This window comes from Homo sapiens, chromosome 13, assembly GCF_000001405.40.
Source record: "Homo sapiens chromosome 13, GRCh38.p14 Primary Assembly".
In the NCBI taxonomy this organism is placed as follows: domain Eukaryota; kingdom Metazoa; phylum Chordata; class Mammalia; order Primates; family Hominidae; genus Homo; species Homo sapiens.
In genome coordinates this window covers 102799010-102826817 of record NC_000013.11, presented here as the reverse complement: position 1 = coordinate 102826817, position 27808 = coordinate 102799010, and the positions used below count along the sequence as shown (strand labels likewise).

General features: G+C 40.6%; 2 protein-coding genes and 1 pseudogene across 3 annotated transcripts in view, besides 5 other annotated features; all 3 read right to left on the bottom strand.

Moving 5' to 3' along the window:
• Positions 1-19672, bottom strand: part of BIVM-ERCC5 (BIVM-ERCC5 readthrough) — a 68850-nt gene extending 49178 nt beyond the window's left edge. Inside the window, exons 1-5 of the mRNA NM_001204425.2 lie at positions 19073-19672; positions 10264-10390; positions 5686-5781; positions 4971-5075; positions 4659-4753 (exon numbers count right to left, since the gene is read on the bottom strand). Coding sequence (NP_001191354.2) covers positions 4659-4753; positions 4971-5075; positions 5686-5781; positions 10264-10390; positions 19073-19550 — 901 coding nt within the window. The 5' untranslated portion in view covers positions 19551-19672. The remainder of the gene's footprint in view (positions 1-4658; positions 4754-4970; positions 5076-5685; positions 5782-10263; positions 10391-19072) is intronic.
• Positions 1-27699, bottom strand: part of BIVM (basic, immunoglobulin-like variable motif containing) — a 42415-nt gene extending 14716 nt beyond the window's left edge. Inside the window, exons 1-7 of one of the 2 annotated variants that reach the window (NM_017693.4) lie at positions 27297-27699; positions 21428-21511; positions 19073-19672; positions 10264-10390; positions 5686-5781; positions 4971-5075; positions 4659-4753 (exon numbers count right to left, since the gene is read on the bottom strand). In NM_017693.4, the coding sequence (NP_060163.2) occupies positions 4659-4753; positions 4971-5075; positions 5686-5781; positions 10264-10390; positions 19073-19550 (901 nt within the window). In that variant the 5' untranslated portion in view covers positions 19551-19672; positions 21428-21511; positions 27297-27699. The remainder of the gene's footprint in view (positions 1-4658; positions 4754-4970; positions 5076-5685; positions 5782-10263; positions 10391-19072; positions 19673-21427; positions 21512-27296) is intronic. The other variant, NM_001159596.2, reaches the window with a different exon arrangement.
• Positions 507-1008: an enhancer, noted in NCBI's record as "NANOG hESC enhancer chr13:103478160-103478661 (GRCh37/hg19 assembly coordinates)". NCBI's record gives its function as "activates a minimal SCP1, AML or CMV promoter by ChIP-STARR-seq in naive H9 embryonic stem cells {active_cell/tissue: H9 hESC(naive)}" and the evidence as "EXISTENCE:reporter gene assay evidence [ECO:0000049][PMID:30033119]".
• Positions 6752-6819, bottom strand: RNY5P8 (RNY5 pseudogene 8; annotated as a pseudogene).
• Positions 26073-26502: a silencer, noted in NCBI's record as "silent region_5486". NCBI's record gives its function as "represses an Ori minimal core promoter by ATAC-STARR-seq in GM12878 lymphoblastoid cells {active_cell/tissue: GM12878}" and the evidence as "EXISTENCE:reporter gene assay evidence [ECO:0000049][PMID:35858748]".
• Positions 26533-26582: a silencer, noted in NCBI's record as "silent region_5485". NCBI's record gives its function as "represses an Ori minimal core promoter by ATAC-STARR-seq in GM12878 lymphoblastoid cells {active_cell/tissue: GM12878}" and the evidence as "EXISTENCE:reporter gene assay evidence [ECO:0000049][PMID:35858748]".
• Positions 27143-27412: a silencer, noted in NCBI's record as "silent region_5484". NCBI's record gives its function as "represses an Ori minimal core promoter by ATAC-STARR-seq in GM12878 lymphoblastoid cells {active_cell/tissue: GM12878}" and the evidence as "EXISTENCE:reporter gene assay evidence [ECO:0000049][PMID:35858748]".
• Positions 27473-27692: an enhancer, noted in NCBI's record as "active region_7970". NCBI's record gives its function as "activates an Ori minimal core promoter by ATAC-STARR-seq in GM12878 lymphoblastoid cells {active_cell/tissue: GM12878}" and the evidence as "EXISTENCE:reporter gene assay evidence [ECO:0000049][PMID:35858748]".

Genomic DNA, 27808 nt, shown 5'->3' with positions numbered 1-27808 from the left:
TTCATCTATCCTCTCACTCCATCTAGATACTGCTGATATTAATAGAAAAAGCCATTAACTACTCAAATGAAGTCCTCTTCTAATCAGCAGGCAAAAAGAAAACAAGTAAAAGGAATTATGAGACTTGTTCTGGTGTCTCCCAGGGCCTTACTCATAATGCAGTCTTGGGACACAAGACTGAGAACTGTATTGTAATAGCTTTCCATTATATCCGACACGTAAGTATGACATTCGTTCCAGTGATTATTTCTATACTCCCAGACATGCATTTTGGTCCACACCCCATTAAAAGAGATATAAAGCCACCCTATGAATCAGTTAGGAAGTGATTCTGAGACAATCTTAATCTCTTACTATTTATAATGTAAAAGGCAATGTTCAAGGCACTGCTAAGATGTAAAGTTGAAAACTTCAGATTCAATGAGTTGGCTCATTTCCTGTCCTTAGGAACACACGAAAAACTGTCAACTGAGAGACTCCAGAAGACAGAAGGAGGACGCACTGGGTTCTGATGGAAAGCAGGGCAGATCTAGCACACAGGTGCAGGTGAGTGTGTGTCTGGGAGTGTGGGGAGGGGAGAGCAGGTAGGAGCCAGAAGGAAAGATGAGCTACAGAAAGGGAAAGAGAAAACATTTTCCTTTCCACATCACAAGAGAGAGCTCTTGCAAAGGAAGAATGCCAGCTTTGGAATGGACAACAAAATTCTCTCTTAGAAGTTTCGTAACCCCAATCTCCTGAATTCCTCCTGACTCATATCCTCAATTGCGAATTCATTAAATTAACTCCTACTGAGCACCTAAGTATCAGGCACTGTGATGCACAAATGAGTAAGAACTTGGCCTAATCCTCAAGAAAGGCAACTCTAGTTTTTCTGCATGAAACCATACGGTGCACCAAGAATTACCTCGCAATGAAATCAAAGTTCTACCAGAGGCACACATGGTGCTGTGACAACCCAGGAGACGAAGGGATTGAATCCTGCCTGGCAAGCAGAAGAAAAAGCCATCCCCCCAGGTTTTCACGGGACACCACCATATCCATTTGTTACGCTGAAGTCCAGGATGGACAAATAAATAGGAATCCACCAATCACAAAGATATGAAATCCCACATTCCACATGCTCCACAGCAGGGCATCCCATCAGTGAGGCACATAGGCCTAAGGATGACCTGTATCTTGTGAAGAACAGGGAAACATCGAGGAGCCCAGCATGGCTGAACACCAGGGGAGGTAGGCTGAAGCAGGATATTCGAAAGCCAGTCCCTCAAACACCATGCTCAGGAATTTAGGCTTCATCCTCTAGGTTAGGGTTTGGCAAACTCCCACCAACAGGTAAATCCAGTCTCCAGACTGCAGCCTGTGTTGAAATGGGCAGCAAGCTAAAATGGTTTTTACATTGTTAAAAATCAAAAGAAAATTGGGCCAGGCACAGTAGCTCATGCCTGTAATCCCAGCACTTTGGGAGGCCGAGGTAGGAGGATCACTTAAGGCCAGGAGTTCAAGACTAGCCTGGGCAATATAGTGAGCCCCCATCTCTAAAAATTTAATTGAAAAAAATTAAAAAATAAAATTAGTCTGGGCACAGTGGTTCACACCTGTAATCCCAGCACTTTGGGAGGCCGAGGCGGGCGGATCACAAGGTCAGGAGATCGAGACCATCCTGGCTAACATGGTGAAACCCCATCTCTACTAAAAAAAATACAAAAAATTAGCCGGGCATGGTGGTGGGCGCCTGTAGTCCCAGCTACTCGGGAGGCTGAGGCAGGAGAATAGCGTGAACCCAGCAGGTGGAGCTTGCAGTGAGCCAAGATCGCGCCACTGAACTCCAGCCTGGGCAACAGAGCGAGACTCCGTCTCAAAAAAAAAATTAATTAATTAATTAAATTAAAAATTAGCCAGGTGCAGTGGCATGAACCTGTAGTCCTAGCTACTTGGGAGGCTAAGGGGAAAGGATCGCTTGAGCCTAGGAGTTCAAGGCTGCAGTAAGCCATGATCACAGCCACTGCATTCCAGCCTAGTGGACGGAATGAGACCCTCATCTCTAAAAAATAAATAATAAAATTTTTAAAAGTTCAAAAGAAAAATAATATTTTGTGACATGTGAAAATTATGTGATATTCAAATTTCAGGTCCATCAGTAAGGTTTTCCCAGGACACCACCATATCCATTTGTTTACATGTTGTCTATGGCTGCCTTCAAGATCCAAGCAGCTGCATCAAGCAGCTGTGACTGCCCCAGAACCATGTGTCTCTCAAAGCCAAGAATATTTACTATCAAGCCTTTTATGTAAAAACATTTGCCAACTACTGCTCCTCTAGGTTAATGATTTTCAGTACCGACACATCCAGGTGGTTATACAAGATGACCCCCTTTGTGGGCACAGAAACAAAATATTAGAACATTTATTTATAGTGACCCTCATATTTTAAAAAGAAATTAAGCTTTACTAGTATTTATTCTGTGGATTGAGTGTGGATGCTGTCTACACTATACAACCCTACATCCAAAGGTCCCAGGTCACACATGTGCTATCCTGAGAGAGGGGCAGGAACTCCACATGGTGGTGCCAGCTCAGGTTGCTAATTACTGTGCCTTGACACCCCTTACCCTCTCACTTGCTTTCACTGAACTGCTATGTATTCAGTTTACAGGGTGCAAAATGTCATTGGCAGACATTTTATAAAACTTTTAATGAACACAACTGACAGAATCATTATTATACCTTCTAATAACTGGAGAATGACCATAAAAATCTTTTGGACCAGAAAAAGGTTTGGCACATCCTGTGGAAGTAAACATTCAAGAACTATAAAAGACAATGCCAAATTATGCATTTTCTTTTCATGGCACACGAAGACACCTCAAATAAGATCCAGAAGAAACAAGAGACAGCAAAATCAGATATATACACATTTCCTACATTACACCAAATACAGAGGAAAAAGTTTCAATAGATTTAAAAAATAAAAGGGTTTGAAAATATGAGTAAGGAATGAGGTTATTTTTAAAAGCAGATTTTTAAAAGAACTACATATTTTAGAATAAAAATGATTGAAAACCTCTTTTAAAAAACTCAAACTCAATAGGCAGTATAAAAAGCAAACTAGACACAGCTGAAGAGAAAATTACCAAACAGGATAATATATCCTTTCTTAGTTTTTCGTTGCCTGATCACTTACTGAGAGTAGTGTGGTGACAGTCTCACTAGAAACAGAAATAAATAGCAACACAGCATTTAAAGCTGTGTTTTCCAGAAGGATAGACAGGCCCCATGTGAATGCATAGAATTTAGTCAGTAGGAATAAATGCTAGCACTTACTGAGTCCTTACTCTGTAACACAGCGTGCTAAGTACATTACAAGTATGTCTCCTTTTATCCTCACACTGACCCTATACAAATATAGAAAGATAAAAGGTCTACATCAAGGCTCAGCAAGTGACTTGTTCAAGGTCACAAAACTAGTATGTGTAGAAAGCAACATGTAATCTCCAAGCCTGCCTCCAAGTAACCAACCTGATATACCCAATATAGGTCAACAGAAATATATCTGACTTTGTGCTCAGTCTTTTACCTTGGTAAACCATATACCCTCTATTGATAACAATTCTCTTCCTGATTAATCCTTGAGTCCTCTTCTCAAACAGGCCTGGACCTTAGACTTCTGTGTCCAGTTTTAGCATGAATCCTGCTAAGTCAGTTTAGAGAGAACCCACAACCCTTAATATCTAATCAAGTTCCTTACGGACGTCCCCTGCCAACTCCTGATGTCTCAGCCCTTGACCTGCCTTTAGCAAGAAGTCTGTTAGGCTTTAGCAAGAATCCCCATACCCTTGACCCTCTTAGTAATATCCCACCCCCAAACCCCTCGCTGTGTCCCTTGGCTATAAAGTCCCAGTTGTCTTTGTTGTCTTTGCTGTATTCAGAGCTGAGCCTGATCTCTCATTCCTACTACAATAGGCCTTTCACAAGTTTAAAATAAAGTCTTCTCACCCTATTAACAAGTGTCAGAATAATTTTTTCTTTAACAATGTATTACAATTTTCTGATTTACACAGTCAAAAGATTGTAACAATTTTAAAAATGGAAATTGCTAAATAGTACAAATTATTTAATTAGCACATAACTAAAATAATCCTTGAGATCAACTCCATTAATATTTCTGTTATAAACAAGACTATTTTATAGCAGAACTTTGTCACTTCAACAGTCTATTTTCCTGCCATTATATGTCACCACACAGGTCTAACATCAAATATTCTCAAATCCTTACATTCCTTCTTAGGAAGAAAACTGCTAACTCCATGCTGCTTCCTTAGAGTTTTACTAGCATGTGCGCGTACACACGCACATACATACACACACAAACACACACACACACCACGGACCCAAACAATACAATGTGTTAGAGTAGTGTTTGTGATATACCTTAAAGTTCTAAAGGTTCTACATAAAAAGGTTAGAAGAGGTAAAATATTAAACTGCTTATTAAAAAGTGCCCTACAGATTACATGCAAGTAACAGACTGTGCTGAGGGTTTACATAATGTCCCAGGAAGCTAAACAGGCAGTCTTTGAGACGAACTCTAAACCGTGTGTGTGTATGTGTGTGTGTGCATGTGTGTATGTGTGTATGTAAATCTTCTATATGTTTACCTACCAGTTTCTCCTGCTGTTTTATTCTTCCCATGAGGCTTATATAGAACATAAGAGCATCCTTTTACATGGAAGTGGTCATTAATTTGTCTAAACCACCTGAAAGTAACAAGAAGATTTGTTCATGGCAACAATTCTACAACAAAGATGGCATTATTCCAATTCTAAAGAAATTCAGGCATAGCCCAAAGTTGGTATACCTATGAGAGGTTGAAGCCCAGCAGCTGGATACATGGTTTACTATCAACACACATCTACATCATTATTATTTTGCAAAACTAGAAACACGATATTGCCTCTAAGAGGGTCTTCATACCTCATAAGTGTTGTATTCCCCGTGAAAGGACCAAACCTAATATCTTCAAATGGAGGTTGAAAGCCCAGAATATGTAAAGCTTCTTCTTGGGTAATAGGTGGAAGGCTACAAAAGAAACATTCATTGCCTTTCATTTTTCAATTCCAGTCATACGCAAATACAGCCTGTCTCAATGTTAATATGCTTGTCTGATTTGCAAATAATATTAGTAATATTTTTCATTATTTTATTTTATTTATTTTTTTAGAGACAGGTTCTCACTCTGTGGCCCAGGCTGGAGTGCAGTGGCGTGATCATAGCTCACTGCAGCCTTAAACTCCTGGGCTCAAGTGATCCTCTTGCCTCAGTCTCCTAAGAGACTAGAAATACAAGTACATGCCATTGTGCCTGGCTAGTTGTTTTTATTTTTTTACTTTGTAGAGGTGGGGTCTTGCTTTGTTGCCCAGGCTGGTCTCAAACTCCTTGGCTTCAAGCAATACTCCCGCCTTGGCCTTCCAAAGTGCTGACATTACAAGTGTGGGCCACTGTACCCAGCCCATTTTTATTTCACTGAAAATAATACATGTATATATTTTAAGCTAAAAGACTTACACTAAAATACAGCAGGGTTTTGTTAAATTTATAAAAAATCTATTCTTAAATTTTTTTCTGTTATAGAAAAAGCAACATCAAATTACTTTGGAGTTTGGGGGTACTGATAAATTGACATACTTACTTTCCAGCTCCCATTGTGCTGTATAAGAAATTCCAACAAGAAATTAATGAAGAGATGCCACAAGAAGTCTTATACTGTGGTCGGCTTATGCAGTACCTGAGAACACAAAAGACTGTTTTCTTCACTTGAATGAACACAAAATATGCATGCTAGAAATAGAAAACTCATGGCAATTAAAGGTGTTAATATAATGAAAACTTTGATCCCCTAAGTCAATGTAAAATCTTCCATATTCACTTATTAATCATGTCATAAATATAAAATAACAATAAATCACCTGCTTTAACAAAAATAGCTAAGTATGACTAACTGCCAGTTAAAGTGGATGTTATCCAAACCAATGGGAAAAAAAATAATGATATATCGCCTATTAAAAGTTTGGTGTAAACTCCTGGTTGAACTGCTTACATGATTATTTGCAACTTCAGAAATACAAGAGAAACAAACCATTGCCCCCACGTGTCAACTTCTCAGAGAGATTCTTCAACCCAAACAAAAATTCATCCATTTATTACCCACTGTGTCCATCTAAAATCCTTGGGCAAGAAGCCATGAAGCAGTGCTTCTCCTGTCACAGAGAAGTTTAAAAGTGAAATACAAAATCCTTCCATGGCATGATTCAGTGGCACTAAGCAATCCAGACAATTTTCCAAACTGTCATGATTCAAGAGAAGAAACTGGGGCAAATGTGAACAGAAGGAGAAAGAGACAGACTATTTATTTATTCTGTTTTAAGAAGAAATACGTTTGCTTTCTCTTTTTTTTTTTTTTTTTTTTTTTTGAGACAGAGTCTCACTCTGTCGCCCAGGCTGGAGTGCTGTGGTGCAATCTTGGCTCACTGCAACCTCCACCTCCCGTGTTCAAGCAATTCTCCTGCCTCAGCCTCCCGAGTAGCTGGGACGACAGGCGTGCGCCACCACAACCAGCTAATTTTTGTATTTTTAGTAGAGACAGGGTTTCACTATGTTGGCCAGGATGGTCTCAATCTCTTGACCTTGTGATCTTCCACCTCAGCCTCCCAAAGTGCTGGATTACAGACGTGAGCCACTGCACCTGGCCAAATGTGAAGCTAGTCAAGCGTGGTTGTGGGGGGAGATAATGTTAAATCAGCTTAACAATAACCCACAACACTCGTTGGCCTTCAAATGATCTTCTCCTAACTGCTTTCTAAAGAAGGTGCTAAGAAGTAGCCACAATGAAACAAAGAAACAAGCCCTATCATCACTAAGAGCAACTTTAGTGTGGTCTAAAAATTAATTACAAAATGAAAAATTAGACATATGCATGTGTACATATATGCATTTGTATATGTATATATACTATGCATATTGGCACACATACAAGTTAACCATGACCCTTCAATATTTTTTTTTAAGTTCCAGGGTATACATGCAGGATGTGCAGCTTTATTACATAGATAAATGTGTGTCATGGTGGTTTGCTGCATCTATCAACCCATTACCTAGGTATTACACTCTGTGTGCATTAGCTATTTTTCCTGATACTCTCCTGTCCCCGGTTCCCACCCCGCGACAGGGCCCAGTGTGTGTTGTTCCCTCCCTACGTCCATGTGTTCACATTGTTCGGCTCTCACTTATCAGTGAGAACGTGTGCCACGAGCCCTAAATCTGTAGACTACACAAAATGACACACAAAAGCTAATAACTATCACTTAACATACTAAGTGCTGTCTTCAACACCTTACTGTCAAATCTATTGAGTCCTCCCTCAGTTTTGCTTTGTTCTTTAATTGTGATAAAAACATACAACATCAAATTTATCATGTACACTATTTTTAAGTGTACAGGTCAGTAGTGTCAACTATATGCAAATTGTTAGGCAACAGAACTTTTTCATCTTGCAAAAATGAAACTCTTTACCCACTGAACAACACAACTCCCTTTTACCCCTTTCCCCTATCCCTGGAAACATGAGCAATTTACTAATGTCCTTATTCAAGTAATCTGCCCTAGTTGTTTAAATATGAGTGTGAACTCCAACCTAAGAGACCTTTGTGGACAAGTGATTATTAACAGTTCTGTCATCATAAGCTATATGGCCCTTGCTGATAAAACACAAGCAACTCATTCATTTACTGATTTTTTTTTTCTGCTGTGAATATTTTTGCCAGAGTTCAATTTTGGGGATTATTTTACAAGTCCAATACTAACAGTGTTTTATATTTTACAACATTTATCTTTACATATATTTACTAACAAAGTATTGCATGCATGTATATAGTTTTTCTCATAACACTAAATTTGGCCTGAAAGAATTTTTAAAAAGGAGAGGGAAAGGGGAATTTCTCTTAAGATTTTTCATACTTTTTCATCAATCTAAACTTGTTTCCTAGTCTTGTTTATGACCAGGTTAAAATGCTTACCAACATTCTACTATCTTCTACGGGACTTTCCATTCTAACCTAATCTTGTAATATTCTCAGTGGAAAACAGGCTTATAGTCCTGGTGATGTTTTCCCCTCAGGGCATTTCTCCCATCTATCCTTCCTAGTCCTAGCCTTCATGGCCTCACATGTTATACTATTAATATGTAGTTACACAGATTTGTTGTTGAAACAAAGCTTAAATCTAAGTGATTAGAAGCACAAACGAGCAAAACCTTCTTTTCAAAGAAACTAAAATGAATGTTTGTGACTTTAATGTCTCTTCTCCATTATTCCCTACATACTAACTATTCCAAATTTATCTTGATAAAAGTTCCTTTTGTTAAGAAATCGTCCATGGCTTATCTTTAACTCAGAAAAAAAATCTAAATATTGAGCCTGATATCTAAGAAACAGATCATGACATGTATTATACGCAAACAGCATGAATGTTGAGTCTGACTCTTCAGCTTCAATACAAGATCTTCTACTTATTAGCCATGTGACACTGGCAGGTTTCTTGGCCTCTCTGAGCCTCACTTTAGACAAGCTACTCTACTCTTCATTACCCACATTCCAGAGACACTTTGCTGTAATTCTTTCAAAGACCCTTCACCCTCCAACCCTTCATATTTCCTCCCTTAAGACCCAGGACCTTAGTAAAGCATTCTGGTGATCATTACCTCCTTTCATGGTTAATTAGTGATTCATACCCATCACATGACAAACTGCCTAAGATATTTAACATTTTTCTGTTTAGTCCCCTCACCTCAACTGGATTGTAAACCTTGGGAAAACAAAGACAATGTTGTGTGCATCTCTGTTTCTCAGCCTACAGCAAAGGGTCCAATATTTATTAAATAAGTGATAAAAATATATTTCTAAAATGTCATACAAAGGAATTTTAAAAACCCAAATCAGGGTCAGTAATACATAAAAGTTGTCATGAATTAAACTTGTTTTCATTAGACTAGGAACTGTATTTTAAGATAACCAAATAGCCCCAGTTGATCAGTGAAAGCTACAGAAGAAGGCTGGGTAATAAAAGTAAAAAAAAAAAAAAATTGGAATTTTGAAATATAACCATTTTGCAACAAATATTCAGACAAGGATCATCAATGGGTTTGGGTTGTCAATACATTTGGCTAAAACCATAAGGTAAAAAGCTGATGGAACCTGGCTATTACCTAATGCCACTCTGTCACTCTACTGATTACTTGAGGGTACCAGAGGAGAAAGAAAGAACTCGTCAATGTAGAATACAGCTGTCACCACCTTAACCCAGTAATCACTTAGAATTGCTAATACTGGATAATCAGATACCATGTGCCTTCTGATGTGAAACCTTTGAAGTATGAGGGCCCACTTAAGCAGTGTTCTTGCATAAAATGTTGTACTGGAATTTAATCAAGTCTTTGTATTCAACTTCCAGTTTACAGGAAATATTGAGGTTAGATGCATAATTTAGGAAACTAAAAGGAAAATACAAATCTGGAATGTAGGACATTCTATAAAATATCTGGCCAAGTCTCTTCAATAAGTCAATCTTTATTATTCTCATTTGTCGATTAAAATAATAGAATTTTTAAAAGACAAGGGGGAAAGTGGGGTGGAGACTGACCTAGATTGAGAGAATTATGGGTCATGACAAGCAAACATGTGGTTCACAACTGGGTCCCACTTTGAACAAACAGATGTGAAGACCTTTTCAGAACAATCTGGGAAACGTGAATTTAGCCTGGGAATTAGACACTAGGGAAATATCGTTAATCTTATTAAGTATGACAAAAGTATTGTGGTTAAGTAGAAAAAAGTCATTTTTTAGAGATGCATACTTAGGTAACTTGAGATGAAATATAATAAAAATCAGTCACTTACTTGAAAATTCTTCAGCAATGAAAAGCTAAGTATTTAACTACATCAAAAGGTTAATCATTGTTAAATCTACATGGCAGTTACGTGGAGTCACACAGATGACTCTAATAATAAGCCGAGTTTGGGAAAGACCAGCATAACTCATTATTAATCTACTTCAAACATTTGTGGTGACTTTAAATATTCAGAAATCCTGGTAATAATTTTAGAAATAAAAATATTTATGATACATATAATGTATTAATTTGTAAACTGCTACGTTATTGCCAACATATATTACATATTTCAAAAATGAAAAAAATAAAAACTGATAACATCACCATCGTCTGAGGTCTAATACTTTCCGCTGTTTAATATCTTCAAGAGGAGAATGCTGAGGACATTCCTTCTGATATCTTCCCTTTTTATCTGAAGTTTTTCTCTTGGAAACTTGTTTCTTTGCATTGCCTAGAATACAAGAGTATAAAATAAGCAAAATGCTTAAGATGAAGTAAACTGAAATGACAAAAATTAATTATGCACCAAAATTAAGAAGTAACTGCCTTAATAATTCTGCTGAGAAAGTGCAAAGAAAAAATAATAACAAATAAATAACTGCCACAGGTTCTAAAAGTGATATTTGCAAACACAATGAAGTAATACATGTATTTTCAATAATAGTCCCCTACCTTAAAGAGAAATAATAAAAACAAATTTAAACAACCATGAATCCTATTTCGTGTCAGGTTCTTATACTCCAATTCCAGAGCTAGTCACTTAGCTGGTGGAACAGTCAATCACTAAATCTTTAGCCACATCCGGAAAATCAAATTATCGACAGTAAAAAAATTTAACTAGACCACTTTCCAGAAAATGAAGGCTTTCTATAAAACAATAAAACCAAATTAAAGCAACTCTGTTAAGAAAGTAAAAGCACCAGATCCATTAATGTGATGATGTGATGTTTAAAAATATCTCTGGACCGACAGAGACGACAGAATGAATGAAGAATGATGCACACATATACATTACTAAAATGCAACTCTAGCACAGAAACTAGAATGAAAAGCAAGCCTCCTGTGTGCATGTATGCATCTATGTATGCATGTGCACACACACTCATACATGCACACACATACAAACATTCTCCAAAAGACCCTCAAGGCAAACAACAGTGGTTACTACTGGGGAAGGGAGAATTGGGAGCTAGACAAAAGGAAGCCAAAAGTAAGAGTGAGAATTTGTACTTTTTAATTTTTTTTAATTTTTGAGAGTACATAGTAGGTGTACATGCTTAGGGGTACATAAGATGTTTTGATACAAGCATGCAATGTGAAATAACCACATCATGGAGAATGGGGTATCCATCCCTATACTTTTTATTTTTATAAGTTTTATTTCTAAATCGTTAGTGAAGTATCTAGTAAAAAATTATATAAAGTAAAATATCAATAAATAACATCCAAGCCTCATTTCATTAAAATACTATTAAGATTTCAGATAGCTATGCTCAAATACTTTAATATTTCACACATATTCTATTTTAAAACAGTTCTGTTATAAAAATTAACTGAAGGCTAATATTTCATTTTTATGAGTCATTCATAAATTATAAAATAGATTATATACATATATGCCTAGTAAGCAAACATGGAAAGAGATCAGTTTTATTCCTTCAAGATACTATACAGAGAAACCATTTGACACCTACGAACAGCTGGAACTCAGGAACTATTATTACACAGGGAATTTCTGTAAAAATGTAATAATAATGAAGACTATAAAGTCAAGAAACAATGTTTCGCCTTCCTTTTAATTATTCTTTTTGTTTGTTTGTTTGTTTGTTTGTTTTGAGACAAGGTCTTGCTTTGTTGCCCAGACAAGAGTGCAGTGACGCAATCTCCACTCATTGCAACCTCTGCCTCCGGGGCTCAAGCAATCCTCCTACATCAGCCTCAGGAGTACCTGGGACCACAAGTGCGTGCGACCATGCCCAGCTAATTTTTGTATTTTTAACAAAGTCAGGGTCTCACTATGTTGCCCAGGTTGGTCTCAAACTCCTGAGCTCAAGCAATCCACCTGCCTCAGCCTCACAAAATGCTGGGATTACAAGTGTGAGCCATCATGCGTGACCCTTTTAATTATTTTTTCTAAGTTTTTACAGAGAACACACTTTTCACAGAGCTGAACATCACTGGCAAAGGTGAGCAACTGTGCCAAATCTCATTGTGCCAAATTTCCTTGACTGGTAAAATGACTCTTACAGAGTCAGATAACAGAAGAATTAGTTTCTAACATTTCTTGAGATGTCTTCACTGCCTAATAATGACTTAATTCCCTAAGTAGTTTTCCCAGCCACTTAAAATGTTAAAGCTAATGAAACATAGAAATGTGTGACCTTGATAGGCTCTGCCAACAGTCTGTACTCACACTTTCCTCTAGGGTTCCATGACCTTGCCCCCTATTCTCTTTTTGTTGAATCTCGGATTGCCCCTGGGATCAATTAGCATATACGGCCCAAATGAGCGTACTTCATAAAATGCCCGCACTGCCACAGAAAGAGCTGGTCCCACAGGCAAAAGTTCATTTGACTTGAGGGAAAGAAGCCACATCAAAGTGAAAGCGCCGTTTGAGATGGGAACATAGAAGAGCAACACCTGCACCTTCTGCCTTCCATCACATCAGCTTCAAGAACCTTCGCCCACTGCTCCTTCTCATTACTGAGTTCCTTCTTCCATTCCTCACCCTACCCACAGCACACACACACAGCCTCAACACCAAACACACACACAGACAGACAGACACACACAGACACATACACACACAAATATATGTATTCACCACACTGACTTTTAGAAAAAGGTATGAGAAGAGCAAACAAAAGCAGAAAATCCACTGTCTTTTTTTACTGGAAGAACCAAAGGACAGAGTCCTGTGCAATCACCATCACTGAAAGTGAGGTGAGAGGAAACCCAGAAAGAAGAGAGCCACAGAGAAGAGGGGGCCCAAATTCTGTGTATAAATTTGGCCCAAACCTTGGACTGACCCCTGGACCATGCATGTAAGGAGCAAATTCAAGCAACACAGCTAAAAGAGCTGAACTGAGATGGTTGGAGCTGTACCAAGGAGACAGAATTTACAGTTTTAGTTCAACCAAATTAACTGCCTCCCAAAACCAAAAAAAAATCAACACTTTGAAGGAATATACCAGAGTTGCCATAACATAATAGTCCCACTCTCTAGGATACAATGCAAAATTATAGAACATATAAGGAAAGTGAAAAATATGACTCATTCTCAAGAAAAAAGATAAGGCCTACTGTGAGATTAGCCAGATTTTGAAATTTGCAGATAAGAAATTAAAGTAGATATTATAACTCTGCATTATGACATAGATAAAATGCTCTTGTAATAAATGAAAAATATAGCAAATCTCAGATGAGAAATAGAAGCTATAAAAATGTAAATTCTAGAACTAAAATAAATAGATGGAAAAATATATACCATGCAAATATAATCAAAATAAAGCTGAGGAGCTTTATTAATATCAAACAAAGTAACTTTCAGAACAAGAAATACTTCCAGGAATAACGAAATATATTTCATAATGATAAAAGGGTCAATTCAGGAAGAAGGCCTAAATCTCATAAATGTATGTGAACTTAATAACAGAGCTTCAAATTACATTTTTAAAAAAATTAACAGAATTAAGTGCAGTGTAGGAGGCACCAGGAATCTGTCTCCCCACCTAGACAACTGCACTGGCAGAATCTGTCTGATGTAATTATTTTGGAATTCCAGAGTCTATTCAAAGGATTGCAACTTTCAGAGGAAGTCCTGAACAGTAAATGCAAATTTTGGTCAATTTCAGCACATAGCAAGGTACAACTACCTATCCCCAAGTCCAAGAAACTGTGCATATGCTCCTGGAGAAGCTTCAGGCAGTTTGTGGGAACCATGGTGGGCAAAAAGGTCCATGTCCTATGAAAATTGGAAATCTGTGTTCTGATTGCTGACTGCTGCTTCTGATCTTGAAAGCACAGATACAGGGGGGCAGCCATTGTTGCAACTCTCCCTCCAATGTTGCAAGCCCCTCCCACTACAACAGAAGCAACTTCCAGAGGACTTAAGGGGCCAGCACCTTTGGTGTGGTTTTTTTGTTCTGTTTTTTTTCCTCTCCATTTTCTGTTTGGGGAGCCAGACATTTCAAAAACAGTATATTCAAAAGCAATCACTTATACAGGGAAATGTAGAAAATCACTGTACACACTCAGAGAAAGGCAGGGGCTTTTCCCTGAGAAGCCCTTAAATGTATACCTCAGGTTGATTACCAGCATAGAAACAGCCTATAGCAATCAAAAAACAAAAACTAAAATCAACAAACTCTGGGAAAGATGGGTATTGATTTCCAGAGTTACTGCATTATTAAATAATATTTGAATGTCTAGTTTCCAACAACAACAACAACAAAAAATCACAAGAAACAGAATAAGGCCCATTCAAAGAAACAAAAAAATATATAAACCAACAGAAACCATCCTGGAAAGACCAAATGGCAGACTTGCTAGACAAGGACTTTAAAACCACTATCTTAAAGATGCCAAAAGAACTAACGAAAGATGTATGTATGAAGAACATGGAAATATCAATGAAGAGATAGAAAACTTAAAACCAAAAATAAATTCTTGGGCTGAAAAATATAATAACTGAAATGAAAAACTCACTAGAGTGATTCAAAGGCAGTTTTGAGCAGGCAGAAAAATTAGTGACCTTGAAGATGGGAAAACTGAAATAATTGAGTATGAGGAACAGAAAAAAAAAGGTCTGAAGAAAAGTAAACAGACCTTAAGGGACCTGGGGACACCATCGAGTGGACCAACCTATACATTGCAGAAGTTCCAGAAGGAGAAGACACTGAAAAAGGGGTAGGAGATTATCCAAACAAATAATGCCTAAAAACTTTCCAAATTTGATTTAAAAAACATGAATATAAACATCCAAGAAACTCAACAAATTCCAAATAGGATGAACTTAGAAAGACCCACACCAATATATGTTATAATAAAATTGCAAGGCTGGGCACGGTGGCTCACGCCTGTAATCCCAGCACTTTGGGAGGCTGAGGCAGGCGGATGACCTGAGGTCAGGAGTTCAAGACCAGCCTGACCAACATGGAGAAACTCCGTCTCTACTAAAAATACAAAATTAGCCAGGCATGGTGGCGCACGCCTGTAATCCCAGCTACTTGGGAGGCTGAGGCAGGAGAATTGCTTGAACCCAGAAGGTGGAGGTTGTGGTGAGCCAAGATCGTGCCATTGCACTCCAACCTGGGCAACAAGAACAAAACTCCGTATCAAATAAAAAATTTAAAAATTGCAAAAAGACAAAGACTCTTAAAAGCAACACAAGAGAAGCAACTCATCACATACAATGGACTGTTAATAAGAATATCAACAGATTTCTCATCAGAAACTTTGGAAGCCAGAAGGAAGTGGGCTGATATATTCAAAGTGCTGAAATAAAAAAAAAATTCAAACAAGAATTCTAAATCCAGCAAAACTGTCCTTCAAAAGTGAAGAAGAAACTCAGACATTCCCAGACAAACAAAAACTGAAGGAGTTTATTACCACTAGACTTGCCCTGTAAGGAATGCTAAAAGGATTCCTGCTGGTTGAAATGAAAGGACATTAGCTAGTACCTCAAAGCCATAGGAAGAAATAAATTTACCTCAGTGAAGGTAATACACGAACAATTATAAAAGCCAGTGTTATTTTGTTAGTTTGCAACTCCAGTTTTTGTATTCTATATGATTTATGAGACTAATACATTTTTGAGAAATTATTATTAGCTTAAAAGCTAGTAGTAGGCCAGGAGCAGTGGCTCATGCCTGTATTCCCAGCACTTTGGAAGGCCGAGGCAGGAGGATTGCTTGAGCCCAGGAGTTCAAGACCACCCCTGGCAACATAGTGAGACTCTATCTCTACAAAAAAATATTAAAAATTAGCCAGTCGTGGTGATGTGCACCTGTAGTCCCAGCTACTCAGAAGGCTGAAGTGGGAGGATTGCTTAAGCCTGAGGTCAAGGCTGCAGTAAGCCATGGTCGTGCCACTGCACTCCAGCCTGGGCAAGAGAGCAAGACCCTATTTCAAAATAAAAAATAAAAATAAAAAAGCTATTATTATAATAACTTTGGTTTGTAACTCCACATTTTGTTTTCCACATTATTTAAGAGATTAATACATAAAAATTATTAGTTTATGTTTTCAGACACACAATATATAAATTTGTAATTTGATAACATCAATAACTGAAAGTTAAGTGTGGACGAAGCAGTATAGGAACAGAGTGTTTACATATAAATAACAAGTACTAAAATGACAAGTCTCTCCTTATCAGTGATTACTTCAAATGTAAATGGATTAAATTCTCCACTCAAAACATAGAGACTGGCAGAATGCATTTTTTTAAAAATATGTTTTTGTATACGTGGGTTCACACACAAAAACAGAAACAGAAAAAATTAGCTAACTATATGCTGTCTCTGAAACACTCACTTTAGATCTAGAGATACAAATAGGCTGAAAGTAAAAGGATGGAAATAAGTATTCCAAAGCAAATAGCACCCAGAAGAGAGCAGGGGTGGCTATAAATAAACCAGTCATAAAAAGACAAATACTATATGATTTCACTTACATAAGGTACCTAGAATAGTCAAATTCACAGTGACAAAAAGTAAAATTGTGGTTTCCAGGGACTGTGAGGAGAAGGAATGAGGATTTATTGTTTAATGGGTACAAAGTTTATTTTGTAAGATGAAAAGAAGGGCTGGGCGGGGTGGCTCACGCCTGTAATCCCAGCACTTTGGGAGGCCGAGGCGGGCGGATCACGAGGTCAGGAGGTCGAGACCACGGTGAAACCCCGACCCTACTAAAAATACAAAAAAGTAGCCGGGCACGGTGACAGGCGCCTGTAGTCCCAGGTACTCGGGAGGCTGAGGCAGGAGAATGGTGTGAACCCGGGAGGCGGAGCTTGCAGTGAGCCGAGATCGCGCCACTGCACTCCAGCCTGGGCGACAGAGCGAGACTCTGTCTCAGAAAAAAAAAAAAAAGAAAGAAAAGAAAAGGAAAGAGATTTGGAGATGAATAGTGATGATGGTTGCACAACAACGTAAATGTACTTAATGCCACTAAACTGTACACGTAAAAATGGTTAAGACAGTAAATTTTCTGTTATTAGACATGTATTAGTTTTTAAAAAAGAAATTAAATGGAGAAAAGACAACTTCACAATCATAGTTGAAGATTTTTAACACCCTTCTTTTGGTAATTGATAGAACAAGACACAAGTTAAGCGGAGACACAAAAGATGTGAATGACACTTTCAAACACTTCGACATAATTAATATTTATAGATACTCCCAATGACTGCAGAATGCACATTCTTTTCAAGTGCACATGGCACATTCACCAAGATAGACCATATGTTGGGTCATAAAACAAGTCTCAGTAAATTTAAAAAGACTGAGAGCATATGCCCTCTGTCCACAATGGAACTAAACTAGAAATCAATATTTAGAAAAACTATTAATATCTAGAAATTAAACAGCATACATCTAAGTAATACATGTATCAAAGAATAAATTGCAAAGGAAATTAGAAAATATTTCCAATTAAGTAATAATAATAAGCATATCAAAATTTGTGAGCTGCAGCTAAAGCAGTACTTAGCAATTTGGAGTATTCTATGCTTATGGTAGAAAAGTCTAAAATCAATGATCTAAGCTTCCATCTTAAGAAGTCAGAAAATGAAGAACAAAATAAACCCAAAGTAAGTCAGAGGAAGCAAATAATAAAGAGCAGAAACCAATGAAATAGAAAACAAACAATTGAGAAAATTAACAAAAGCTAGTTATTTGAAAAGATTAACAAAATTGATAAACTCCTAGCTAGATTGATCAGTTTTAAAAAAAATAGAGAAAATAAATTAATTACCAGTATTAGGATGCAAAAGGAGTTGTCAACAAAGATTCCTTAGATGTTAGAGGGATAACATTAACTTTAAGCCCCCAAATTTGACAACTTAAATGACATGGACAAATTAAAATTTGTCAGAAATTAACAGAAATCAAGACAACTCCATAATTATAAATACAGATTTTAATATCTCTCTGAAAATCCTCAGAAAACAGGAGGAAAAAACACTTCCCAACTTTTCTTAGAAGATTTGCATAGCCCTAATTCCAAAACTGGCCAAAGGCATTAGACAAAAAGAAAATTGCAGACTCATTACCTACAAATTTAGACAAAAAAAGCAAAATCCCCCTCCTACCCTTAAGAATTACAAATTTACCTAAAATTCTATGAAACAAATTGATTTTGCAGATAAACAAGCAGAAGCATTAAGGTTTTATAAAATCATCAGAGAAGACTAGAAGTAAATACAAATCCTAGTTTGACCTCCTCTTATTAACTCTGCAACTTCGGTCTAGAGATTTATCCCTTCTAAGCCTCAATTTCTTCACCTACAAATGGGGCTAACAGTACCTGCCTCATAAAATTCCTGTATTACTTTGAATTCAAAAGAAAGAAGTGTAAAGTATTTCTATCTGCCATAGGACCACCCCATTGCAACTGTGAAAGTTATGCACAACCTCGGTAAACAGCATCCTCTTAAATTGAGCAGTACACAACCCACTTGGTGGTACATGGAGGCTTTGCTGGGTGCCTAAAAAATTTTAACAACAAAAAAAGCTAAAACATTATATAGCAGGAAAAAAAGATGTTTGGTCAGGAAATACAACTTCATGTGCCTATAAAACTATGAAACAGTAGTAAGTTATTCTAGCCATGTTATTAACATTTCATTTTCTAAGCTACCATCTGTTTATAATATTTTACATTATTAGATTTTCAAATCTCTCAAAATATTTGATACAAAGCTTATGCTTGAAGTTTCCAGTGGAAGCCCCGCAATGAACTACATGCCCTACGTCAAGGTTACTTTCCTAAAACTACATTGACAGACAAGATGATAGCCATGTTCCTTATCTAGTATTATACAAGGAAACTATGTGTAATGGCAAGATTAAACAAGACATAGTGTTTGTTTTCTCATTATTTTCACATATGAACTTCATGGCTCCCTCCTTACCTGATTTGTGTTTCGAATTTGTGGTCACCCCATCAAATTCAGATTTATCAATTTCCCATGCGAGAGGTAGCTTGCCCAGGCTGTTGGATAAGTTTTCCAAGCTATTTTCTTCATTGTAGATAATTTCCGATGTACTAGTCGGGATACCAATGTATCTTGATGAATTATTTCCAGCAGATAAAGAGGTACTATCAGGGAGGCAAGGAGAGCGGGATGGATTTGGAGTTTTATAGATTGAGGTCGCCTGGTTGAGAAAGGCATAGTCCGAACAGATGGCATAAATTTTTTCCCGTGTATGAGTCACTGGACAACTCCATGGATAATGACCATCTCCTTTGGGACCCAAGGGTGCTCCTGAGGCACTTGTGCAGAAAGATTTTACAGCACCTTGTAGATTCTCTTCAGGTGACTTTCTCTCAGATTTGTGCTCACCATTTCCAGAATCATTTGACCTTTCTGTTTCTGCAACGTTAGGCATTGAATGCAGTGTAAAAGTTTCTATTACTAGAAACAAGTTGCAACTCTATCTGTTTCTTGATAAACAACTTTGACAATTGTTTACAGCATGCTATAAAAGCTTGAGAGCTGCAAAATGAGCTCCTAAGAGGAAGGAAAAAGAATGATCAACAATCCACCAGATACACAAAGAGCCACTAAAAAGCATAGCAAGTTTTATGCATACATATGCCTTCATTCTATATTAATTTTACAACTACTATATGACTGGAGTCACAATCACTATCTTATTTTTTAAATTAGTCTAAAATATGCATTAAATTATTTTCAAATAATTAAAAAATAATTAAAAAGCAAATAGCCCAATTTTTTTTTTTTTGAGATGGAGTTTCACTCTTGTTGCCCAGGCTGGAGTGCAATGGCACAATCTCGGCTCACCGCAACCTCCGCCTCCCGGGTTCAAGTGATTCTCCTGCCTCAGCCTCCCAAGTAGCTGGGATTACAGGCATGCGCCACCACGCCCGGCTAATTTTGTATTTTTAGTAGAGATGGGGTTTCTCCATCTTGGTCAGGCTGGTCTCAAAATCCCGACCTCAAGTGATCTGCCCACCTCTGCCTCCCAAAGTGCTGGAATTACAGATGTGAGCCACCATGCCCGGCCAGCAAATAGCCCAATTTTTAAAAATGGGCAAAGTATCTGAATAGTGTCTTCTCCAAAATCAGTACAGAAATTGCCAATAAGGCCAGGCGCAGTCACTCACACCTGTAATCCAGCACTTTGGGAGGCCAAGGCAGGTGGATCACTTGGGGTCAGGAGTTCGAGACCAGCCTGGCCAACATGGTGAAACCCCGTCCCTTCTAAAAATACAAAAATTAGCCAGGCATGGTGGCACATGCCTGTAGTCCCAGCTACTCAGGAGGCTGAGACATAAGACTCACTTGAACCTGGGAGGTAGAGGTTGCAGTGAGCCGAGATCGCGCCACTACACTCTAGCCTGGGCAACAGAGCGAGACTGTATCAAAAATAAAAATAAATGGCCAATAAGCACATGAAAAGATGCTCAGTATCATTAGCCATCATGGAAATACAAATCAAAACCACAATGAGATTAACACCTCACACACGCTAGAATGGCTATAATCAAAAATGTTGGTGAGGACGTGGAGAAATCATAACCCTCATACATTGCTAATGGAAATGTAAAATGGTCCAGTTGCTTTGGAAAACAGTTCTTCCAACAATTAAACAGAGTTACCATATGGTCCAGCAATTTCATGCCAAGGTATATATCCGTGACAGATGAAAATACATCTTCACACAAATGTTAATAGCAGCATTATTCATAATGGCCAAAAAATGGAAACAACCCAAATGTCCACCAACTGAGGAATGTATAAATAAAATGTGGTATATCCATACAATGGAATATTATTTGGCAATAAAAAGAAATGAAGTACTGACCCATGCTACAACATGGATGAACCCCGAAAACATTATAGTGAGTAAAAGAAGATCGTCACAAAGGACCAGATAGTGTATTATTCTATTTATATAACATGTCCAGAACAGGCAAATCTATGCAGACAGAAAGTAGATTCATGGTTTCCTAGGGCTTGGGGTTTGGGGGTGATGGAGTTTCTTTTTGTAATAATGATAATATTCTATAAATGATTGTGGCAATGAACACACAACTTGTAAATACCCTAAAAGCCAATGAATTGCATAACTTAATGGGTAAATTATATGGTGTGTGAATTATACCTCCATAAAGTTGTCTAAAAAATAATGTATTAGCAAGATTTTTTACGTACATAGGCATAAAGGATACATGATGAATAACGGCCACAGATTTAAATAAACACAGAATACAGAAAGTAAATTTTCCAAAGATTCATCACCTGACAGAAAAACGGATCCAATCAAGGTGTCACTAACTTCTGATCAGTTTCAGGAAAAACTGAATTTCAAGTCTAAACTGATTCCTTTAGGGAAGAAAACAGAAAGCTTAAATAGCAACTGAGGGCATGCAAGGAAGCTGAAGATTTATACCAGAGGAAGTCCTTGGTGAATTGAACCATCCCAGGACACGCAGCAGACAACCCCAGGCAGGTGCCCGGGCAGGGTATGCGGGTTTCTCAGGGCTCCAGCAACAGAGCATCAGTTGAGAGATTCAGTCCACCCTGGGTGATCAGTTGGACTTTTACCAGTTAATATCTCTGCCCATTTGCTTACTTAAAAAATTAGAAATAAAAATAACTGTCATGGGTTACCAAAAATAGTATCAAAACCATCATACAAATATTGAACAACGAAAGCCTATGAGTTAGGCTGCAAGAAATAGAAGACGATTCACACAAGAGCCCCCTAGGTTATCCTGATCTGTGAGGAGAAACTAGCAAAGGTACTGCATGGCTTTCATGGAATTTAAGGAAACAGAGCTGCATATTAGGACTCCACATATGCTAGGCAAAATTCCATTTTCTTTACTTTTAAAGCATGCTTTTTCTCTATTCAAACCTTCAGTTTTTAGGCCTGGTGTGGTGGCTCATGCCTGTAATCCCAGCACTTTGGGAGGCTGAGGCGGGTGGATCATTTGAGGTCAGGAGTTCAAGACTAGCCTGGCCAATATGGTGAAACCCCATCTCGACTGAAAATTTAAAAATTAGCCAGACAGTAAGGGCCGGGTGCAGTGGCTCACACCTGTAATCCCAGCACTGTAGGAGGCCGAGGCGGGTGGATCATGAGGTCAGAGTTCGAGACCAGCCTGGCACACAGGGTGAAACCCTGTCTCTACTAAAAAACACAAAAAAATTAGCTGGGCATGATGGCGCGCACCTGTAATCACAGCTACTTGCGAGGCTGAGGCAGGAGAACGGCCTGAACCCAGGAGGTGGAGGTTGCAGTGAGCTGAGATCCTGCCATTGCACTCCAGCCTGGGTGACAGAGTGAAACTCCATCTCAAAAAAAAGATAAAAATTAGCCAGGCGGTAGTGACGCATGCCTGTAATCCCAGCTACTCGGGAGGCTGAGGCAGAATTGCTTGAGGCTCGAAGGTGGAGGTTGCGTTGAGCCAAGATCGCGCCACTGCACTCCAGCCTGGGTGACCTGCACTCCATCTTGTCTCGAAACGAACAAACAAACAAAAAACTCTTCAGTTTTAAAATAATTTGTGCAGAGTTTATAGTTGTTTGCAAGAGGGTCAGTTGGATAGGAATATTACCACGAAAGGTGGAACCTCCTGTGGTTTCACTTTGAAAACTTTCACTTTCTTTTGGTAAAAAAAATTCTTGGAGTAGTTGTAGTGGGTCCTCAAGTGGAAGTGGTGCTCTCTCCTTATTCATCTGGTGGTGCAACGGTGATGGCAGAGGGAAGCTCAGTACCTGGCGTTGTTCAGACCAAACTCTTGTCTTTTTGGAAGACAGAGTTGCTCTGATTCTCAGCAGATGTCCTAACATAGCATTTTCTACTTCTCATCTGTGACCTTCATGCCTTTCTCTACATCAGTGTGGTGGACAGAGAGGTAGGTATTTGTGGTATTGGGGTCGTGGGGGTGGGCTGTGCGAGGTGAGGAATGAAAGAGCATATAGTCTCGGTGAGAGGCAATAGACAAAGGTTATTAGAGTGAGTTTGGTGGCGAGACGGAAATGTTCCAGGCCCTGCCCCTTTTATATCCTCATCTCAGACTTGGCTTCCACTTTCCCAGGGCTTCCTTCCTCACACTGAATGGAATTTTGCCTGTGGGACCAGCTCTCTGTGTGACAGTGTAGGGATTTGATTTGATTTTTTTAAATGGAATCTCACTCTGTTGCCCAGGCTGGAGTGCAATGGCCGGATCTCAGCTCACTGCAACCTCTGTCTCCTGGATTCAAGAGATTCTCCTGCCTCAGCCTCTGGAGTAGCTGGAATTACAGGCAGGTGCCACCATGCCTGGCTAATTTTTGTATTTTTAGTAGAGATGGGGTTTCACCACGTTGGCCAGGCTGGTCTGGAACTCCTGACCTCAGGTGATCTGCTGGCCTCGGCCCCCCAAAGTGCTGGGATTATAGGAATGAGCCACTGCACCTGGCAGGGATTGTAAAAGTATGCTCATTTGGAACATATATAGAATAACCTTTTTTTTTTTTTTTTTTAAGAAACAGGGTCTTGCTATGTTGCCTAGGCTGGTCTTGACCTCTTGGCTTCAAGCAATCCTCCCGCCTCAGCCTCCCAAATTGCTGGCATTACAGGCACAAGCCACCATGCCCAGCCATGGAGAATATTCTTATCAAAAACATAGGCAAAGGGAAATGACTGCATTTAAGCACAAAAGTTGGGGGTAAGCTTCCTGGACGCTAAAGATAGAACACAGCACTAGATTAATAAAAAGAGTAACAGTGTGAGCCAGGCACAGTGGCTCATACCTGTAATATCTATGCTTTGGGAGGCTGAGGCAAAAGAATCACTTGAGGCCAGGAGTTTGAGGCTGCAGTGAGCTATGATCACACCACTGCACTCTAGCCTGGGCAACAAAGCAAGACTCTGTCTCAAAAAAAAAAAAAAAAAAGGAAAGAGAGAAAAAAGTAACAGTCTGGTTTGTTTGTGTTTTTAGTTTGTTTGCTTTTAAATAATGGTCACGGAACAAGATGATTTATTTGGTCGAAGTTTTAGCAAAAAAAAAATGAAGATCATCAATATAAGGATGCATTTTATATTGACTGTCACTAAAATCCAAGGGCATGAAACATTCTCATTGGAAACTATATGTAAATTTCTCTTTGAAAATGTAATATTCATAGATTTTATAAGTAAAACATTACAAAAAAATGCAAAGTACCAAAAGATATTACAGGAAAATGGAAATTACCCAAATCCCACGACCCAAACACTGCTAGTGTTTACTTTCTTTCCACACTGTCTCACGTCTATTCTCTCCACTATAGTGAGAGCCCCAAGAGGCCAAGGGGGCTTCTATTATTGCATGCTCAGATTCTAGCTTTCTTAAAGTACACTAAGCACAATTTATTACTGATAATACTAATAACAGAATCATTATAGACAATACTGAGCTATAGAGAGGCAGTTTGTCCCTCCACTTAATAGGCTGCAGCTGTCACTGTTTTGACTCATCTTTTATCTCCTTTTGTTTCTCTATTTATAAACTATTCCCAGTGAGTTGACACTTCTAACCTGACCTGTGCAGAGATATTAGAAAATAAAGTTTGCTACATATATATGATCACAGAACTCCTCTGCCTGAAAGCCTCTGCTCTTAGAACAAAAGGCCAACTCCTGATGGTCCCTAGATCTATCTGGTTAGCTCCATCTCATTCCTTTCCCCCACCCCCCAAGCTCCACATTACTTTTTGGTTCTCCCAATACTGTCTCCCTTACTTAGCTCATTCCCATTCATCTTTCCAATGTCAGCTCAAATGTCACTTTCTGGGGGAAACCTTCTTGGCTTCTCAAACTAGGCCAGGTGACCCGGTACAGACTCTAGTACCTTCCTCACACAGGTCTTACCAGGTGGCAATTTTACACTTACTTCTGTGCATATCTGTTCATATGATCAACGTCTGCATCCTGCAAGTCTGGTTTTCCAGATTATTGTATCCCCAGGGCCTAGGATTTGTAGACGTCTCATTCAACAGATAATTTTTAAGTGTTTGCATCATGCCAGGCATTACTGTAGGCCCTCATTTTGATTGATTGCGGTTCCCTCTTCCAGGCAAGTGAGGTGTTGCTATATTAAGATTTACTAAGCCGGCGTGGTGGCTCACACCTGTAATCCCAGCACTTTGGGAGGCTGAGGCGGGTGGATCATCTGAGGTCAGGAGTTTGAGGCCAGCCTGGCCAACATGGTGAGACCCGTTTCTACTAAAAAAAAATAAAAAATAAAAAAATACAAAATTAGCCGTGCATGGTGGCGCATGCGTGTAGGCCCAGCTACTCAGGAGGCAAGGCTGGAGAATCGCTGAACACCAGAGGTGGAGGTTACAGTTGCACCATTGCACTCCAGCCTGGGCGATCAGAGCAAAACTCCGTCTCAAAAAAAAAAAAAAAAAAATTTACTACTAAGAATGACTGCAGGACCTCAGGCTCAACTAATAGCTTACTCATAAAATCATGTCATAAGCAATAGAAATATGGTTTGCTCGTATGCAAAGCAAAAATTTATAAAATGGCAAGTTTAAAAAGCACCGCCAGAGTCATGATTGTTCAAAGTCACTGAACGAAGTGTTCTGTAAAATAAACGTCCATTTGTAAAGCCAATCTTCATCGCCTAGGTTGTAGTCTTTTCAGGTTATATTTTGTCTGTATTCTCAAGTATCAAGTTTATGAGAGAACCAAACATCTCTAAAAACCTCTTCAGTAAAGCCTTTTCGTATAACAAAATACCCTGATCGATATCCTGTATAGAAGGCAACTGAGGAGCAGGGGCATTCCGGTGACCTCGTAAGGGTCGAATATGCGCGGGAGGGCGAAACCAGAGGCGCATAGCCCCCGGCCGAGCTAATGCCACCCTTCCCACCCGGTGTCCTCCCGCGCCCTCCAGGCCCCTTCCTCCCCTTCAGACCTGCGGGTCCCCAGAGCCGAGGCGCCAGCCTGTCAAAAGATACCGGGAGTCCTCCGCGCCTGGCGCCAGCCTCCAGCCCGCGCCCCTGGGGAGGCCGGGAGCGTTTCCACCACCGTCCTCTGACAAGCTCGCCGCTCGGCCGGGCTCCGAGGCCGCCGGGACGGAGTAGACAGTCGCGCAGGCCAAGCCCCGCCGCGCAGAACCAGTGCGCGCGGAGGCGACGCGGGCAGAGAGGAAGGAGCGCGGCTGCGCTCCCTGCCCGTGGCCAACCCAGCCCGCGCCTCCGCGCGTGTCGCGGGCACCCCGAGTCCCCAGCCCGCAGAGCCCAAGGGCCGCCGAGGCCTCCTCGCCCCTACTCCCTCCTCTACCTTCCCTCACCGGCCGGAAGACGAGGCTCTCCGCCAGGGGGAGCGCGCCGAGGCCCGGGGGTGACCGCCTCGAACATGCTTGCCCCGGGCCCCGGGGACGCTGTTGGTGTTAAAGGGGGCCCACGGGCAATTGCTGCATCCGGGCTAAGAGCTGGGGCTCCGATTCGACTGTTTGAGTAAACGAGTCGGTATCATTAATAATGACAATTGCACAAAAGAAAATAGGAAAGAAACCCCCTTTCCTGGCGCCGAACCAGGCCCGCCTTGGCTCGGAGCCACCGGCTCTTCTGGGTTTTCGGGGCAGCTGGCAAGAGGGAGGCAGGCAGAGGAGGCGGCTCCGGGTCCGACTGCCAAGCTGACCAGGGCGGTGAGCCCGTGACTCCTGGCGGCGGCCCAGACCCGGGTGCTGGCGTGCAGGGGAAGGCGACGGCCGCTGCGCGCTGGTTCCCGGACCCTGCCCAGCGTGGCGTGGAGACCGACGGCCGCACAGGGGTCACCGGTATCCACATGGACACCTCCTAATCGAGCTTTGTTCACCAGAGGGCTAGGCCCTTCTTTCCCTGGCGCTTCTCTTCCCCCCGCGACACAGCTCTTCCCCCTACTCCTTCCCGGGAGAGCGCGCACCCATGCAGTGGCCTCCATCTGGACGCCACGGGGCTCGGAGAGGCGATGACCCCTGGCAGCCCAGGCCGGTATCGAATTAAGTAAAAATTTTGAATGCCCAGGTGGCTGCGCGTAGAGCGGCAGCAGGCCGGGCTGGCGGCGCCCAGGTGCCCAGCGGAGGGCCAGGCGCTCAGAGCGCACAGCCGGCCGCCACCTCGGCCCCTGCCCCCCGCCCCGGGGTACCTCTGGCCTGTCGGGTGGGGTCGGGTCGCTGCGGCCGCGGCGGAACCCGGCTCCGGACCTGGATCACAGCATCCAGCGCGCGGCCGGCGAGGCGCCTCCTGTTACCCTGGGGCCGGCGTCCCTCGTCCCATCGGAGCGAGCGAGGATGCTGCGGTGCCCGGCGACAGGTCGTCGGATAGCATTGACAGCACCTTCCTTTCAAGGTGCTTTATGCCTGCCCTCTCCACGTGCGGAGGGCAGGGTGACCAACGCAAAAACCTGAGCTGCGCCTCCAGACCCGTGCGCCCCTTTGATGGGCATCTGTGGTGTTTATCTGTCCCCCGAAAGCGGTGACCGAGAAGTAAATAAATGGGCGAGAGGTGGTAAAATCCTGGCAGTATTTCCGCTCGTCCTGTCGCGAACTACATATCCCAGGGAGCCCGGGGCGCCGGGACGCGTGTCCACCCCGCCATCCACTTGGAGAAGGCGTTACTGAGCCTGGCCCGACGCACGGGCCAATCCCCTCGCCCTAC